This window comes from Homo sapiens, chromosome 3 (assembly GCF_000001405.40).
Source record: "Homo sapiens chromosome 3, GRCh38.p14 Primary Assembly".
Classification (NCBI taxonomy): domain Eukaryota; kingdom Metazoa; phylum Chordata; class Mammalia; order Primates; family Hominidae; genus Homo; species Homo sapiens.
Genome location: NC_000003.12, coordinates 160,449,900 through 160,467,714, shown reverse-complemented (window position 1 = coordinate 160,467,714; position 17,815 = coordinate 160,449,900). Strand labels below are relative to the sequence as shown.

At 44.2% G+C, this 17,815-nt stretch overlaps 1 long non-coding RNA gene and 1 pseudogene across 1 annotated transcript in view, besides 1 other annotated feature; one reads left to right on the top strand and one right to left on the bottom strand.

Moving 5' to 3' along the window:
* Nucleotides 1-17,815, top strand: part of TRIM59-IFT80 (TRIM59-IFT80 readthrough (NMD candidate)) — a 258,294-nt gene that overhangs the window by 18,033 nt on the left and 222,446 nt on the right. The window lies entirely within an intron of this gene.
* On the bottom strand, nt 13,906-15,347 carry B3GAT3P1 (beta-1,3-glucuronyltransferase 3 pseudogene 1; annotated as a pseudogene).
* Nucleotides 17,234-17,753: an enhancer, noted in NCBI's record as "NANOG-H3K27ac-H3K4me1 hESC enhancer chr3:160167750-160168269 (GRCh37/hg19 assembly coordinates)". NCBI's record gives its function as "activates a minimal SCP1, AML or CMV promoter by ChIP-STARR-seq in naive and primed H9 embryonic stem cells {active_cell/tissue: H9 hESC(naive and primed)}" and the evidence as "EXISTENCE:reporter gene assay evidence [ECO:0000049][PMID:30033119]".

Below are 17,815 nucleotides of genomic sequence, written 5' to 3'. Positions count from 1 at the left end.
CACACCTCACTAATTTTTTATTTTTATAGAGGCGTAATTTCACCATGTTGCCCAGGCTGGTCTCAAACTCCAATTACAGGTGTGAGCCACCACGCCTGACGAAAAGCAGATTTTATTTCATACTCTAGTTTTCAACTGTTTCATGAAACTAGAGATTTTTTTTCACTTGAAAAGGGGAAAAGGATAAAACAGCTTTATCATAAAGATAAAACGGAAACAAAAATTAACTTTACTGTATTGATACTTAGCAGATAGAGATGATCACCTTATAAATGTGCATTTGAAACTGAACTGATCTGTCTTGTAATGAGTTTGACAAGCTTCAAACAGAAACTTGTGATGAATGTGGCTGTATGGGTATATAGACTTCCCTTCTTCATGGTGGTTTAGCTCCACAACCCACATATGGACTTCAGGTCGTTAGAACACAGAGCAGGACTGACAGGGTAAAGAAGACAGGATCACAAGACCTGGGCCTAATCACAGGGATGAAGTGCTAGAGTGAGAACAAAGGAAAAAAACTGACTTCAAGATGAGATCCTAAATTTGAGTTCTCTTTAAATTATCCAGGACTTGGAGGAGGATTGGTAATATATCTTGTTAGATATTGCCATATTCTGCCCCAAAAAGTTTGCATTCCCATCAGCAATGTATAAGTGAGACTGCCCATTTCCCCAGAGCCTGATAATGTGTTGTCATAATTTTTAATTTGCAATTTTCATCAATACTATAGGTGAGAAATGGTACCTAGAATGATGTTTTAATTCGCATTTCTCTAAGTATGAGTGAGTTTGGGTATCTTTTTATATGTTTAAGGTCCATTTTTGTATATTTTGTGTGAATTGCCTGTTTCTTTTCCCAGTTTTTAAAATGAGATTTGTGGTTCTTTGTTCCTCAGTTTTTAAGAGTTCTTTATATATTAAAGATATTAGCCCTTTGTCTTTGACATATGTTGAAATATTTTTTGCTAAATTTTCAGTCTTTTTGTGTGTGTGTATGTGTGTGTCTGTTTATGGTGGGTTTGCATGTTAATTTTTTTCATTTTTACATAGTAAAATTTATCAATATTTTCTCTCGTTGACTTCAGATTTTGAATCATAATTAGAAAGCCTTTCCCTACACAGAGATTTAAGAAGTATTCATCCATGTGTTTGTGTAATACTTGTATGATTTAATTTCCTTTTATTTAGAATCTTGACCCATTTGGAATTTATTCCTATATATGGGTGTGAAGTATAGATCTAATTTTATCTTTTTCCAAATGGTGAATTAATTGTCCCAGCATCATTTACTTAAAACTCTGTCTTTATCCCAGTAGATGCCAACTACTGGGTTGAATAGTTGGCATAAAGTTGAGTTGGATAAAGTTAAGATGCCAACTTTATCATATGCTAAATTTTTATATGCACTTGAATGTATTTCAGGACACTCTAGTCCAGGATTTGGCAAACTTTTTTTTATTTTTGAGATGGAATCTCGCTTTGTCTCCAGGCTGAAGTGCAGGGTGCCATCTCGGTTCACTGCAATCTCCGCCTCCGCGGTTCAAGCAATTCTCCTGCCTCAGCCTCCCGAGTAGCTGGGACTACAGGCACGTGCCACCACACCCAGCTAATTTTTGTATTTTTAGTAGAGACAGGGTTTCACCATGTTGTCCAGGATGGTCACAATCTCTTGACCTCATGATCCGCTCGCCTCTGCATCCCAAGTGCTGGGATTACAGGTGTGAGCCACTGCGCCTGGCCAGCAAACTTTTTTTTAAAGGGCCATACAGTAAATACTTAGGACTGCAGGCCACAAAGTCTCTGCTGTTATAGGTAAAAGCAATCATAAACAATTTGTAAATGAATAGACATGGCTGTGTTCCAATAGCTCTTTACTTACAAAAATATATAACCTTGAACCATAGACTGCTAATCCCTGCTCTAGATGATTTCACTCATCTGTTTTTGCACCAGTAACTCATTGTTTTAATTACAGAGGCTTTTTAGTATGTTTTAATGTCGGGTTGGGCTAGTTTCCCCCCTTGTAATCTGTTCATTCTTTTTAAAAAGAAATAGAAGATAGATCCATGAAATAATATGACTTTTTGTTTTGTCTGTTTTCTGGTCTGGTTCATAGACCAACTCTAAAGATAATTCCAAAGAAAAGTTCCAGAACTGCCTCAAGCAATGTTAGTGATTATTTGAGTCCCCCAGTGTGTTACAACTTAGAGGCATAGTATTGATGTTTATAAATGTATCTGGTATGAACTGTTATAAAGTTAAATCATACAACTTACCTTATGGTTATAACTTTTACATACATATTTTAAAAACTGAAGTTAATAGAAATTATGTTGAGAAGATATTTTTAAATGTTGTAATAACCTTTGAGAAATTGGAAATATTTTAGGATATTACAATCAGAGCTAGGAATGGTTTCAGTATGTAATTTTTTTTCCTGTGACAAATGTCTTGTCAATTGCAAAGGATATGTAATTCTTCACAGTCTAAGATCATGAGTTATTTTTAAAATCCTGTCAATCATCTCTTATTTACCAGAACATTCTTCAGCTGAGTGGTTTTAAATAGTAGAAAGCTTCCTAGTTTTACGACATCCAGACCCTCATCCTGTTGGAAATGTCATCAAATCATTATCAATAACCTGGCCACTAATTTGGCACTCCCTACTTTTGTCAAACCTATAGTTGGATTGAGCAGACTTTATGAATAAGAATTTAGAAGCTTGAGTGAATATGAAGCTTATAACTCTTTAATAACCACTAGGAACCAGAAACATTGAACGGTAGCCAAGCAAAGTCTCACCATGTATGTGAGTTTCATGGTTTTGACAGCTGTGTAATTTTTACTGAAGAAAAAAGATTATCTTTTAAATGTACAAAATGAGAAGCTCATTTTTGGTTACTATCAAGTGCAGTGGGGATGAAAAACACTGTCTCTTCAGTTGACATCAGAATTATTATTAGAGAAGGAATTATCATTACTGTTAGGAAAACCAACTTGACCCTGTGAGTATGGAGGTCAGAAGCTTACACAATAAGAAATGGCTAACCTGCTCTATAAGGAAAAGTGAATAGACTGTGTTTTGCTCCTTTTGCTCCTGAGAGAGGGCCACTGGAAGAGGAGTCCAGCAAACTAAAGGCACACTATTCACCACACACTGCTAGTGGCAGTCTGCTGAAGTCATCACAAGATGAGACCCATCTCTGCCAGCATTGTCCCACAATAACAAACATCGTTTTGTTAAAGAGTGATAGATCTCCAATTGTTCATCGACAGGTGTTTGAGATTGTGGCTTTTGTTTTCAACACAGTGTAACTGCTAATTTGAACAAGAACCTATCAACTACACAGATAGTTTAATTTTTTTCTTCAACTGTCCATTTAAAATTTACTTAATGAAGAAAGTCCTTCCTCTGACCCTGGATGGAAGTGGTCAGTAGGCCCGTGACTTTTGTTTTGTTTTCTTTTTTTTTTTGAGACAGAGTCTCGCTCTGTTGCCCAAGGTGGAGTGCAGTGGTACAATCTTGGTTCACTGCAACCTCCACCTCCTGGGTTCAAGCAATTCTCCTGTCTCTGCCTCCCAAGTAGCTGGAATTACAGGTATGCTCCGCCACGCCCAGCTAATTTTTGTATTTTTAGTAGAGACGGGGGTTTCACAATATTGGCCAGGCTGGTCTCGAACTCCTGAACTCAGGTGATCCACCGCCTCGGCCTCCCAAAGTGCTGGGATTACAGGCGTGAGCCACCGCGCCCGCCAGCCCATGACTTTTCTAGTCACTGTTTGCTAACACAAAGTCCTGAGGCCCCTTTAAATTGCAAAACAGTCTCATTTCAGAAATTAGTTCCATTGTCAAAGCTTGAGACTTCATTTGAAATTATAGTTGCTCCCTCTCCCTCAGATAAGGCCTATTCCAGGGGGGTTATTGACTCCTGAGGAACATACAGGATTGGCTGCTCCTAAATTACCTCCTTTCCACCCGCCCCACTTCCCCAGCTGACCGCTGTTTCTCATCCTTCCTGCATTTGAACAGAGGGTGGAGGAGAGGGAGGTGAAGTGGGAGAGTTCTTACCTGGCTGGTGCTGTGGAAAGCCCAGCTCACATTCTCTGGGCTGGGGTAATGTTTCAAGCTGACTCTCTTGTTATGGAGGATCTTCTGCGGTTATCTGGAGACTCTGGAGTTCTTTCATGGGTTCTTTAAAGCATTTTACTGGGACTTCTCACCTGCAGTTTGCTTGACCTGGTGGATTCACTCCCCTCAGGCTCACTGCTTACTCTTTCAGAGTAAAGGCGTGCTGTGATGCTTTTAGTATTTCTCTGTTGAGGCCTGTTTGCCCCTCTCCTTGGAACAATTGGGCAGGACCTTTGGCAACCCCACACCTGCTCATCTGATCCTTGGGAGCACTCAGGCTTTTTCAGCACCCACCAACTCTGGGAATGCAGCAGCAACTCTCCCTGTCTCTGGCCACCAGGGTAGACAGCTATCTCTGTATCTGGTTCCCCAGGGATTTAGTAAATGCTAGGCTACTCAATTCCTCCAATGCAGAGTAGACATAGCTGAGCCCTTCCCACTAGGCTTGATGTGGGGGCAGATGCTGGGTGAGAAGGTAGGACTGAAAGCACCCCCACAACTCTTTCCAAGGAAATTCTCACAAATCCCCTCCCCAACCCTTGCATACCCTCTCTGAGGGTGAGAAGTTACAATGCCCCAGAACAATTCTCAAGCCCCTATATTGTGTATGTTCCCCAGAGGTCTGTCTGCCTTGCAGTACCCTTTGACGTTTGTTAGCCTGTATCTTGAAGTTGCAGCAAAAATTTCTAACACAAAAGCCATCCAAGGAAAAGTAATTTATTTGACCTGGAAGGCAGGGAATTGATGAGATTCTAAGATTTGGACCTAATCCCTTAGCAGTTGGCCACGAAGAGAGATAATTATGTAGCTTTCCTAGCCATGTGAAACTTAGCCCATCAGTGAAAAAAAAAAAAAACTTTTTAAGGGCTTGAGATCTGATAGAAATTTGTCACAGAGACTACTGATAATTGTTTTTACCATGATTCTTTGGCAGATGAAAAACACTATGAGATGAAAAACATTGTTAATCACACAATGATATAATCATTCTCTGATAGTGTGAAATGGCCATTGGATAAGGCATCAGGAAGTTTAAGCATGGTCTTGAATCTGCTGTGACCTTGCTGTGTTATCACGAATCAGCCACCTCTCCTTTGGAACTAAGTTTATCCTGTTGAAAATGTGGAGATGATCTCTGGGATTCACTCTCCACTTAGTATTCTATGAGTCTGTTAAGCTCTCAACATCGTATAAATGACAGCTCCAACCCATAGGGATCGCATTAGGAAGGTGTAATAGGTTAAATGGTGGTCCTGCAAAAGATATGTCCACCTCTTAACCCTCAAAACCTAGAATGTGACCTAATTTGGAAGAAGAGTCTTTGTAGATGTAATTAAGAATCTTCAGATGAGATTGTCCAGGATTACCCAGGTAGGACTAAATCCAATGACAAGTGTCCTTATAACAGACAGAAAAGAAGGCATACAGAGGAGAAGCCCACATGAAGGCAGAGGCAGAGAGTGGCATTATGTAACCCAAGTCAAGGAATGCCTGGAACCACCAGAAGCTGGAGGAGGCAAGATCAGATTCTCCCCTAGAGCCCTCAGGGGGAGCATAGCCTTACTTACATGTAAGTTTGGACTTGGCCTCCAAAACCATGAAAGGATAAATTTCTGTTGCTCCAGGCCACCAAGTTTGTGGTAACTTGTTACAATAGCCCTAGGAAGCTAATAACAGAAGGCGAGGAAGAAAATAAGAGCACACAATCTGGCAGTGAAGAGCTCCTGCTTTGGAATTAGAGAACAACATTAAGCAGCCTGGAGGGCATTATTTAACCTTGCTAGCATTTAGTGTCCTCCTTTGTAAAACAAGGATGAAGATAGAGACCCACTGTTTCTTTTCTATACTTCATTTAAAAGTTTAAAATACAGTAACTATTTTATAGCCCATTTGTAAGGATTACAGAAGATAATGAATGATTTAATAAAGTGCCTGGTTCACAATAAGTGCTACATAAATGTTCGCCCGTTGTATTTAAGGTTATTGCATATATGAGGTGACAATCTCTTTCCTTTTGAATGCTATCTCTAAAACGTATTTGGTGTTTACTCATACATTGCTAGGATCATCTTAAAAATGAGGCAGGGTACAAATCATACTTCAAGTCTGCCTAAATTTTTTAAAAAGGCCAATTCTGATTATGATGAACATGAAAGGCATCCTGAAAGGGAAAAAAAAAGGAACAACAGTTGACTCTTGAACAATGTGGAGGTTGGGGGGATGACTCCCCATGCAGTAAAAAAAACATATATAAAACTTTTAACTCCCCCAGAACTTCACTAATAATAACCTGCTGTTGACCAGAAGCCTTACTAATAACATAAACAGTCTATTAACACAGCAGTCTGCAACCTTTTTGGTACCAAACACCAGTTTCATGGAAGACAATTTGTCCACAGATCAGGGTTGGGGGAGGGGAGGATGGTTTCAGGATGATTCAAGTGCATTACATTTATTGTGCACTTTATATCTATTATTATTACATTGTAATACATAATGAAATAATTATACAACTCACCATAATGTAGAATCATTGGGAGCCCTGAGCTTGTTTTCCTGCAACTAGATGGTCCCATCTGGGGATGATGGGAGACAATGACAGGTCATCAGGCATTAGATTTTCATAAGAAGCACACAACCTAGATCCCTCAAATGCACAGTTCATGATAGTGATGGCAGCAGATGCAGCAGGGTGGTGTGGCTGGGGCTGCACACTTCATGGAGCTCCCCAGTGCTGCTGCAACCACCCAAACTGTGACTGCAGACCCAGGCCTCCTGCTCTCTAAGGAGCAGGCAGGAGCCCCACCCTCCTGGACGGGGCTGCAGCCACCCAAACTGCAGCTGTGGATCCGAGCCTCCCTGTGCTCTTGGAGGGGGCTGGGAGCAGGCAGGATCTGCCCTTGTGGGTGCAGCTGCATCCACCTGACCTGCAGCTGCAGACCTGGGCCTCCCCCTCCATGGAGCAGGCAGGAGTCAGGGATAAGCAGGAACCCCCCTCCTTCTGAGTTGGTGGGGCAGGAGCTCCCTGGGTGCAGCTGTAGCTGTCCTCCCAGGCGAAGGACCTGGGTATCTCTGTAGTCTGCATCCTCAGGGGCCTGGGAAGGGCCCCCACCTCTCCATTCCTGCTGGCTGGGGGGTGTCTGCTCCCACTGCCTGGACTCTGTCCTTCCCAGTGCCGGCTCTAATCTTGGAGTGGGGTTGGGGTCAAGCCCTGGGGCCATAAATGGCAGAAGGAGGCAGACAGATTCCTGGGCTGAAGGGGGCGGGTCCCCAGTAAGGCCCCACCTTCAGGCCAGGGGCCAGGCTGCCAGTCCTGCTGACTGGAGTAGGGGACTCATGGTGCCTCTTCCAGGCCTGCCCATGGCTGCCTATTGACCAATCAGCACACACTTCCTCCCCTCTGCAGTCCATAAAAGCCCTGGCCTTCGCTAGCACAGGGCAGAGGATGGCCAGAGGATGAAGAGGGCAGAGAGATGATAGGATAACCAGCTATAGAGAGAAGGTACCCTCTCTGTTGATAGCTGGAGATGATGGGACAACCAGTTGCAGAGAGGACCAACCCTCTCTGCTGAGAGCTGCAGAGATGACCTGCTGGCAGGGATGTGCCACCCTCTCCAGGGCCTCTCTCTGCTGAGAACTGACCACCTGACAGATGACCTGCCTACGGAGAGGAGCTACCCACTGCGGGGATCCTCTGAGCTGTTGTAACACTCAATAAAGCTCATCTTCTTCTTCTTCACCCTTCACTTGTCTGTGTATCTCATTCTTCCTGGATGTAGGACAAGAACTCAAGCAAAGGCACTGTGGCCACACAGGTTTCTGGACAGAAAATCGACACCCCAAAGATCCCATAACAATAAGGTTTGCACTCCTATGAGAATCTAATGCCGCCACTGATCTGACAGGAGGTGGAGCTCAGGTGGTAACGTAAGCAGTAAGGAGCGGCTGGAAATACAGATAAAGCTTTGCTAGCTCAGCCTCTGCTCACCTCCTGGTCTGTGGCCCGGTTCCTCAAATTGGGGACACCTGTATTAACACATATTTTGTACGTTACATGTATTATATACTACATTCTTACAATAGCGTAAGCTAGAGAAAACATTTTTAAAAACTTGAGAAAATATATTTATTATTCATTAAGTGAAAGTGGATCATCATACAAGTCTTCATCCTTGTCATCTTCAAGCTAAGCAGGCTGAGGAGGAGAAGGAAGAGAACGGGGGTAGGTCTTGCTGTCTTGGGCTGACAGAGATGGAGGAAGTGGAAGAGGAGTCAGGAAAGGCAGGCACACTTGGTGTAACTTTTTGGAAATATGTCACAATTTCTGTCTGGCTTTTATTACTTTTCTATTTCTCTAAAATTGTTTCTGTACAGTACCAATTCTTCTTCTACTTTTTGCATTAGTTTCAGTGCCCTTATCATAGAACAGTCCTTGCTGTAAGAGAAGTCAAAAGCAATCTTGAATCATTGAAACTTTTCTGCCAGGTTGTCTAATGTCAGTTTGTTTTCTGGCACTGCTTCTTTTATGTCTTTTTCTTCATCATTTGGCACTGTTCAGAGGTGCTCATCTTCAAGCTGTCTTCTGTTAATTCCTCTAGTGTCGTGTCTATTAGTTCTTGAATTTCTCCAAGGTATCTTAAAACCCTTCACCCTCCACCTTTTTTTGCCATATTCACAATCTCTTTTATGATTTCCTCGATTGGTTCTGTCAAAATAAATAATAACTGGATTTATGACAGAACAAGTTACATATAAGTTAGCAAGCCCCAAACAATACATTCCTGCTGAAGAAAACTGCAGGAATGTATTGTTTGGGGCTTGATAACTTTCACAGCTTTTTCTATAACAATGATGCCATCTTTAGTGGTGTAATCCAGACTTTCATGTGTTTTCTCTATGAGGTTCTCTTCCTTTCCTTAGGGTACCATGTGTATGTAATGAGCCTTAATGGTCCTTATGACCCTCTAACCTAGAGGCTGATTTAGAGATGTTGTGTTTGGGGGCTAGTAGACCACTTTCACACCTTCAGTGTTGAGCTTGTGGGGTTCCGGGTGGCCAGGGGCAATGTCCAATATCAAAAGAACTTTAAAAGGCAGTCCATTACTGGCAAGATACTTCTTGACTTTAGGGACAAAGCATCAATGGAGCCAAACCAGAAAAAGGGTTCTCCTTGTCCAGGCCTTTTGTACACCAAGACTGGCAGCTGGTGTTTATCTTTTCTCTTCAAGGCTCGGGGATTAGCGGCTTTCTAGATAATGGCAGTCCTGATAGCATTTGCATAAAACACTAGAGTTAGCCTATACTTTCTTGCCTTAAATCCTGGTGCTCACTTCTCTACCTTACTAATACATGTCCTTTGCGGCTTTTTTTTTTTCCATAATAGGACACTTTCATCTGTATTAAAAACCCAATCAGGCAGAATCATTTCCCTTCAATGACTTTTTTTTTCGTATTTTTGAGACGGAGTCTCATCATGTTGCCCAGGTTGGTCTCAAATTCCTGGACTCAAGTTATTCTCCTGCCTAAACTTCCAAAAGTGCTGGGATCACAGGAGAGACCTACGGTGCCTGGCTTTAATGATTTTCTTAATGGCATCTGGGAACTCATCTGCTGCCTCTTGGTCAGCAGAAGCTGCTTCTCCTGTTATCCTGACATTTTAAAAGCCAAATCTCTTTCTAAAATCATCAAACCTTCCACTGCTGGTGTTACATTTTCCAGCTTTAGATCCTTTAACCTTCCTTTTGCTTTAAGTTGTCATATTGTGACTTTGCTTCTTCTTGAATCATATTAGAGTCTATAGGTATGCCTTTCTTATAGCAATCCTATACCTATATAAAAGCTGCATTCTCAATATGAGATAAAGTATTTTGCAAAAAGTGCAAGGTTTTTGTGCCTTCTAGCATAGCTATAGTGACACCTTCATGAATTTCCTTTTTTTTTTTTTTTTTTTTTTTGAGATGAAGTCTCACTCTGTCGCCAGGCTGGAGTGCAGTGGCATGATCTCGGCTCACTTGCAACCTCTGCCTCCCGAGTTTAAGCAATTCTCCTGCCTCAGCCTCCTGAGTAGCTTGGACTACAGGTGCCCACCACCATGCCCAGCTAATTTTTGTATTTTTAGTAGAGACGGGGTTTCACCATGTTGGCCAGGATGGTCTCGATCTCTTAACCTCGTGATCTGCCTGCCTTGGTGTTCCCAAAGTGCTGGGATTACAGGTGTGAGCCACCACGTCCGGCCTCCTTTTTTTTTCTATAGTGGTCTTTATGCTGGATTTATTTAACTTGAAATGGTGGGCAATCTCAGCTGCAGACTTTACTCTATGGTACGTATCAAGCAATTCAACTTTTTCTTGTAACATCATGACTTTTCTCTGCTTCTCGGGAGCACTTCCAGCATCATTAGTGACACTCTATGGGTCCCATGGTGTTATTCAAGGTTCACAGTATTGCACTAAACACAATGAAAAATACATGAGAACGGTGAGAGATCACTTTTTACCACAATAAGCGATTTACTAGGGAGATGAACTGCTCATGGGGAGAAGATTAAGGTCACACAGTGTTTTAAGCAGATACAACATGAGCTCACTGCAACTGCAACAGCAACAGAAGGGGCTATGAAATTACTACAGTAGGACGGTATGTGCTGTAGTTCATTTTATGCAGTTATGATTTAACATTGCATCTTTATGTTTGTTTATACTTCTCTCAACTTTGAATGGTGCTATGTACAGTCTGTGTGTGTAAGTTTTGGTAAATTTTAACTTTTTATAAAAGGTTTGTGTATATTTTATGGTAGTAAATGATAAACTAGCATCTACCTATATTTTATGCATTCATGACATACCTTTTTTTTGATATTTCTAGGCTACACGGTTCATCTGTGAGTTTTTTCAAATTGTCCAAATCTCCATGATATTTTCTAATATATTTATTTTTAAAAATCCACCCATAAATGGGCCCTTGCAGTTCAAACCTGTCTTGTTCAAGGGTTAACAGTATAAGTAATCATCCACATGAACTATTTCAAGTCCTTAGCACACACACATATTTGGGATTTGCCATTCTGAACATACAGAGTGACATGTATATACTGTAAGAGGGTTTTTGTAACTAGAAAAGTCCTAGTGTTTCTCCTTTAAAAGACAACAGGGCAGTGTCTCAGTAGAGGATTTAAATTACAGGGGTGTTTTATTCTTTCAAGTCTAGAAAACTTAAAAGATATATGTTTCTTGACTTTTCAGCTATAATGCCAACCAGCATTAGGAAGACATTACCCAATCCCAGACTTGTCTTGCTGCCTCAAATCCAACCATTCTGAATTACAGGAGACAGAGATTATCACCTGAAAAGGTGATATAGCACAGACATGATGAATAGGGGCCTAATTGTGAGGTGGGCAGCCAGTGTGATTTGTATCTATTCTGGAAATCCCTCTATGGATCTCAGAACAGGTGAAGATCATCCAGGTACAGCTCCGACTTCTGGTCATCAGTCACCAGAAATCTCGGAAACTCAGTGGCATACGGCCTGGGCTGCTTGTCCCAGTTGGAGGTACACTTTAATCTGCAGTTTATCTGATATTGTCATTTAACTAGATCTGTATGTTAGCTCACTTAGATAAGCAACTTGAGTACAGGACTGTATTCTTTGCCTCTGTAATGCTGTGTATTTTAGAAGGCAACTAACAGATACTGGTTTGATGAAATGGACTAGAGAATCACACAAGGCTGTATCAAAATAAAAATTCTACAAATCATTTATCAGAAAAAATTCTTGAAATTCAAAATGTTTGGATCATTTTTAAAAAATAGATGCATGCATAACCATTACAAAATAGTCTAGAAAATTGGATATTAAGTGCCTACATAAAGAGATCCCCAAATTTACTTAAGGTTACAGCCACCCATAAAACTGAGTACTTAAAAAAGTTGGTGGCAAAAAAGTCAGTGGCATTTGAAATAAAAAAGACTCTATGATAATAAAGAAAAGGAAAACTAGTTACAAGGTAAACTGCTACAGGACAGACACATCTTTGGAGTCTTCCAAGGTGCATTCAGAGATACAGCTGAAAAGGGCTGTGTGAAAACAAATTCTGTTTATGTTCCAGTTTTTAAAATTGTGTAGTTTATATATTTTTAGGTAGTAATATGCAAACGAGCTCAAACTCAGTTGAAAGCAACACCAACATGGTTGATAGGTTTCTCTCCTCTAAAAATGAGGTTCTACATTGCCTCCAAAATACCCCCAAACTTCAGGTTTCTGAGTCTATAAACTCCACTGCATCATATAGCTGTGTGCTTTTTTCCAGATAAAATGACCTTCTGTGAACTGTCAGGTAGATTCTCCTAGCTCATTGTCACAGATTCACTCCCACTATAATTACGGTGCCAGCTGCTGCTGTTTTCTTTGCACTCCAGGCTCCAGATGAGAGCTGTGCATTTTCTGTGAAGTCCTAGAAATGAAACACAGGAGCTTTCTAACTTTGGAAAATCACATGTTCTCTTTATTAGAATTCTGCTGAGGCTAATGTGATGGGAGACAAGAGTGGAGTATTTAAACTCTGTAGCTATTAATACCCCTAATCAAAGAGTTTTAGCTTGCCTATAGGGCACTTCTCTGTTACTGATGCCTCCTGTTTTAGCAACTGAGACAGAAGATGCCTAGAAGCAAAAAGTCTGACCTGAGCACCAAAAGGATGTCATAATTAAAAAAAAAAATTCTTTGCAGAGATGCGGTATCGCCATGTTGCCCATGGCTGGTCTCAAAACTCCTGAACTCAACTGATCCGCCTGCCTCCGTTTCCCAAAGTGCAGGGATTACAGGCATGAGCCACCGCGCTCGGCCTGGTTGTCATAAAATTAATGTTATATTGCCTCCTCTTCCACACCTGGTAATAACTGCAAATGTTTATCATCTTTTATCTCTTTCCAATATTCTATCAAAAGATTACTGGAAGTAAGGCTGGGTGCGGTGGCTCAAGCCTGTAATCCCAGCACTTTGGGAGGCCAAGGTGGGTGGATCACTTGAGGTCAGGAGTTCAAGACCAGTCTGGTCAACATGGTGAAACCCCATCTCTACTAAAAATACAAAAATTAGTGGGACACAGTGGTACATGCCTGTAATCCCAGCTACTTGGGAGGCTGAGGCAGGAGAATCGCTTAAACCTGGGAGGCAGAAGTTGTAGTGAGCCGAGATCGCGCCACTGCACTCCAGCCTGGGCAACAGAGCAAGACTCCATCTTCCAAAAAAAAAAAAAAGAGAGAGACACCCCCCACCCTCCGCCCAAGCAGCTCAACTGTCCTCTTCCCCACCATTTTTTTGGGTGGCTGAGCAACTTATCACCTGAGTTTTAGGCTTATGGATTTGAAGCATGTACTCCTGCATTTGAGTATTAGTTCTCCTGTCCCACCTTCCCAGAAAAACATTATCTTTTATAGAGTATGTTAATCACAGTCCACAAAACCAAATATGTCAAGTTGCCTGCCACCACTGAGGCCACCATTGTTTTTGTAGGCTCCTGTGGTTCTCCACACCATCCCAGCCTCCTCAACCCCCAAATTATTGCTGGACTACAGAAATCTTGAATCTTTGGCAGGGTTGGGAACCCATGGGCCTCTAAAGCAGACTCCCTGGAGGCACCAATATAACCCTTCCCTTTTGGTGTCATAGTTTTCCCCCACTAGGACCCGAATCATCTCTATTTTAGGGGCAAACAATTCTTTCTGCTTCTCTCAAGCATTCGGCCTCTTCCTTCAAATATTTTTTCTTTTTTTTCAGGTTGAGATTCTTTATTCTGGAGGTAGGAAGGGGGTCAGCATGCTCAGGTAGGGAGGGTCCAGCCCAGCTCCTCCAGCCCCCCAGTGCTTGCCCAGCCCCAATAAGTTACCCAGTTAATCAGCTGCCCTCCCTCCTGGGTCCGTCTGTCCTTCTGTTCCACCCTAGACAGGGCCAACCTGGCTCAATACAAGGGCTGCTTGTCCCCAGCCTGTGGGCAGTGCCACATGGCAGGCTGGGGGAGAGATGAAGCAGCAGGACCATGCCCTGGGTCTGGAGGGGCAGAGGGGCCACTTCTGGCTTCAAGCGGTCAGGACTTGGAAAACCACATGCTGGGCAGGCCTGGGGCCCAGTCCCACAAGGTCTGTGCCTGAAAAGAGGTGGTAGTTGGGGTGGGGCCGCCATCACACCTCAATTGCTGGGTCTGAGCCCTGGCCCTGCCGCTGCAGCTGCTCCTTCTGCTTCATCTTGGGCTTCGCTGTCCGTGTATGTCACACCAGTACCCGAGTGCAGTTGGCAGCCCGTGGCTCCAGGTCCTTGGGATCCACAAGGTGGCTTAGAAGACTGCTCTCCAGGTGGCTCCGGGGAGCAGTGGAATCAAACTGGGCATTGGGCTTAGCTAACAGCAAGGGCAGGGCCACAGCAAATCCGGCCATATCCACAGGGAAGGGCCCGTTGGGCTCCCATGCTGTGTGGAAGCCCACTACCCGGCTGTCCTGTACCTGAGGGCCCTTGACTCGCAGGCCACCCACCAGCCCCACAGGCCACACTGAGACACCACGGGTCCAGCGCATCTCCTCAAACAGCTCCCAGCTGTAGGTGTTGCCACTGTCAGCAAAGTACACGACTCCTTGGGTCCCTGGTGGTGATGGGTCCTTCTTCCCACCCACAGCACTCCCTCTGCCCCGGAGCCAGTCCAGGGCCTTGTTCCGCTGCTCGACACCATGGGGATGAACCCAGCCAGGCTTGCCCTCCCGAAGCCGCTGGGCTTTGGGCGTGAGGACCACCAGGTGTGTGAAGAGGAGGCCAGAGGCAGCCAGCAGCCCTGAGACCAGCGGGGTGGGACCCTCAGCATCCTCCACCAGCAGTCAATGCAGCCGGGGCACCAGGCTCAGTGTCTGGGACAGCCGTACCAACTCTGCCTTCTGTACCAGCCTGGCATAGGTGGGGGTAACAACATAGATAGTAGGCAGGGCCTCGGGTTCAGGGGGCTGGGCAGGGGCAGGGGGTGGCCGTCGGAGTTCCGCTTGCAGCTGGGAAATCCTCAGATCCTTCTGCCGTAGCTGCTCAGCTGCTGCCCGCAGGGGAGGAAGGCAGTCACATGGCTGGCCAGCGCGTAGAGGAGGCCGGCGATCGACACCAGGAAGTAGGCGAGAAACACGTTCTTCACCTTCAGCTTCATGGCCACGCCGCTGCCGCCTGCGCCCCAGCAGGCGGGGTCTCTCAAATATTATTTTTCTCCATGGGCTCAGGCTTTTTGGGAAACAACAGCCAGTAAGTCTAGTGTGAGGTTCTTCAGTTTTCTTGCTACATACATAACCGTTTTGAGGTAAGAAAGCACAGAGGGGAAAACAGGTGAAAAACATTAAAGCTCAGAAACATTTTCAGCCATATTAATTCAATTCCAGAAGCAATTAAACTTTGTTTAAAGACAATAATTTAATAGAAATATAGTACATTTACTGCTATGGAAAAATAATTCATAATACGTTGGGTTTTTTTGTTTGTTTTTGAGACAGGGTCTCACTCAGCTGCCCAGGCTGGAGTGCAGTGGTGTGATCATAACTCACTGTGGCCCTGATTTCCTGGGCTCAAGCAATCTTCCTGCCTCAGTCTTCCAAGTAGCTGGGACTACAGGTGTGAGCCACCACTCCGGCTAATTATTTTATTTTTTGTAGAGCTGGGTTCTCACTTTGTGGCCCAGACTGCTCTCAAATTCCCGGGCTCAAGCAGTTCTTCCACTTTGGCCTCCCAAAGTGCTGGAATTACACACATGAGCCACCACGCCTGTCCCACATGTTGTTTTGACAGGAAGTTACAAAGATGTCTATCAGGATGACTCCAATGTTTAATAGAAAATGTACATAAAGTCAAAACGAATATTTACCACCATGAAACAGTAGCTACCACTACAATTCACACTTCATAAGCAACCTTTTAAGGAGCTGAATTGGTGAAGCTATCTGAGATTGACTAAGGCCTAATATTGCCTTACTTTCTGCTTTATATCTTTAATATTTTCTGTAATTTACTGAATAAAAGCCTAGGACCTGGATGTACTGCAATGTGCAGTATATAGAGCTCATAGCTTTTTTTTTTTTCTGGAATGCAGTGGTGCCATTTTGGCTCACTGCAACCTCCGCCTCCCGGGTTCAAGCGATTCTCCTGCCCCAGCCTCCCAACTAGCTGGAATGACAGGTGCCTGCCACCATGCCCGGCTAATTTTTGTATTTTTAGTAGAGACGGGGTTTCACCATGTTGGCCAGGCTGGTCTCGAACTCCTGACCTCAGGTGATCCACCTGCCTTGGCCTCCAGAAAGTGCTGGGATTACAGGCCTGGGCCACTGCACCTGGCCTAGAGCCCATATCTTTATTTAGCACATTAGTAAACAAAATGACTTTATAGTTATTGGAAGTTAAATAATTCAAACTTAAAGCTGTTGGAACTTTATTCCGAGCCTTGGGAGGAATGTGGCTACAGCCTGAGTCAAGCAGCAGGCATCTGCAACGTCTGCCTTTTGTTTCTATAAATAATTAAAATAGGAGGACCAAACCATACCAGAGATACAACCCCCTGAGATCACTACCCCCCCTCATGGAGTAACAAAATACTTTTTCTTGGAATGTAGTAATCTGTAACCTACCAAATAGCTGTAAGTATGCACTGGTCTCTTAGGGGAAATGAAATCCTGTTAAAATTTGTCTCTGGCCACCTAGGCGAAACCCTAACTTCTTCACTTTGGAATGCTAACCCCATTTGGAGCTGGTGTCTCCTGGGTGGCTACCCTCAAGCCTTACGCTGGAATAAACTCTATCCTTAATCATATTTCCAGAACCTCACTATTTAAGGTTGACAGGAGAGGGAAGCGGTGATGTCTTGAGATAAAGCTGAATAAAGTTTCTCAAGAAAAAAAGGGAAAGGAACCTCTAAGCTGTACGTTGTTTTCTAACTCTAGGGAGTTAGAGGTGAAGTAGGAACTTGAAGTTGGAAGTGTTGAGTTGGACAGCCCTCATCTCTAGGCAATACTTTCATAAAGTGGAAAAACGGGGGAAGAGGACGAAGGCTAGGGAGAGACGCAGGGATCTACCCAACCCAGTCCTGAGTTTCCCACTCGCTCTTGGAGTTGAGTACAAAGAGCGCTCCAAAGCCCCTTCTCCTGTGCTCAGCCCAGTGCTCCGGTGGGTCAGGTCTCCGGAATGCGTAAACAAAAGCAAACAGCTGAGCGGCGGAGGGCGCAGGCGACAGATGTGGGTGTTCCCTGAGAATGTGTGGCGACTTCCCGGAGCAGCGGGTCTGTGAGGCAACGATGGAAGACACTGCGCTCCACAGCATAGCAGGAGGCCCCGCCCCGTGTGGCGCCAAGTAAAAGATAATTCCTCAGAAGCCGTCGGCCACCGGCGCTTCGCCTCGTCCCGCGCCAGGCCCAGCCTCTCCCCCAGACCACCGGTGCCATGCGGATTCCCCAGGCGGGACCCCAGCTCACGAGGCCCACTGGCCGAAGCTCCCCACAGGATAGAGAGCCGCTCCTGCGAGGCCAAGCTTCCGAGAGGCGGCCTGCGCCTAGCACGCAGGCGCGGAAAGCTGGGCGCCAGCCTTAAACTGACTCCCGCCACCTGCCTCGGGCCGCGCCGTCCACCGTTTACTTTCGAACGAGCCCAGCAATAGTTCCCATTGGCCGATGCCTTGCAG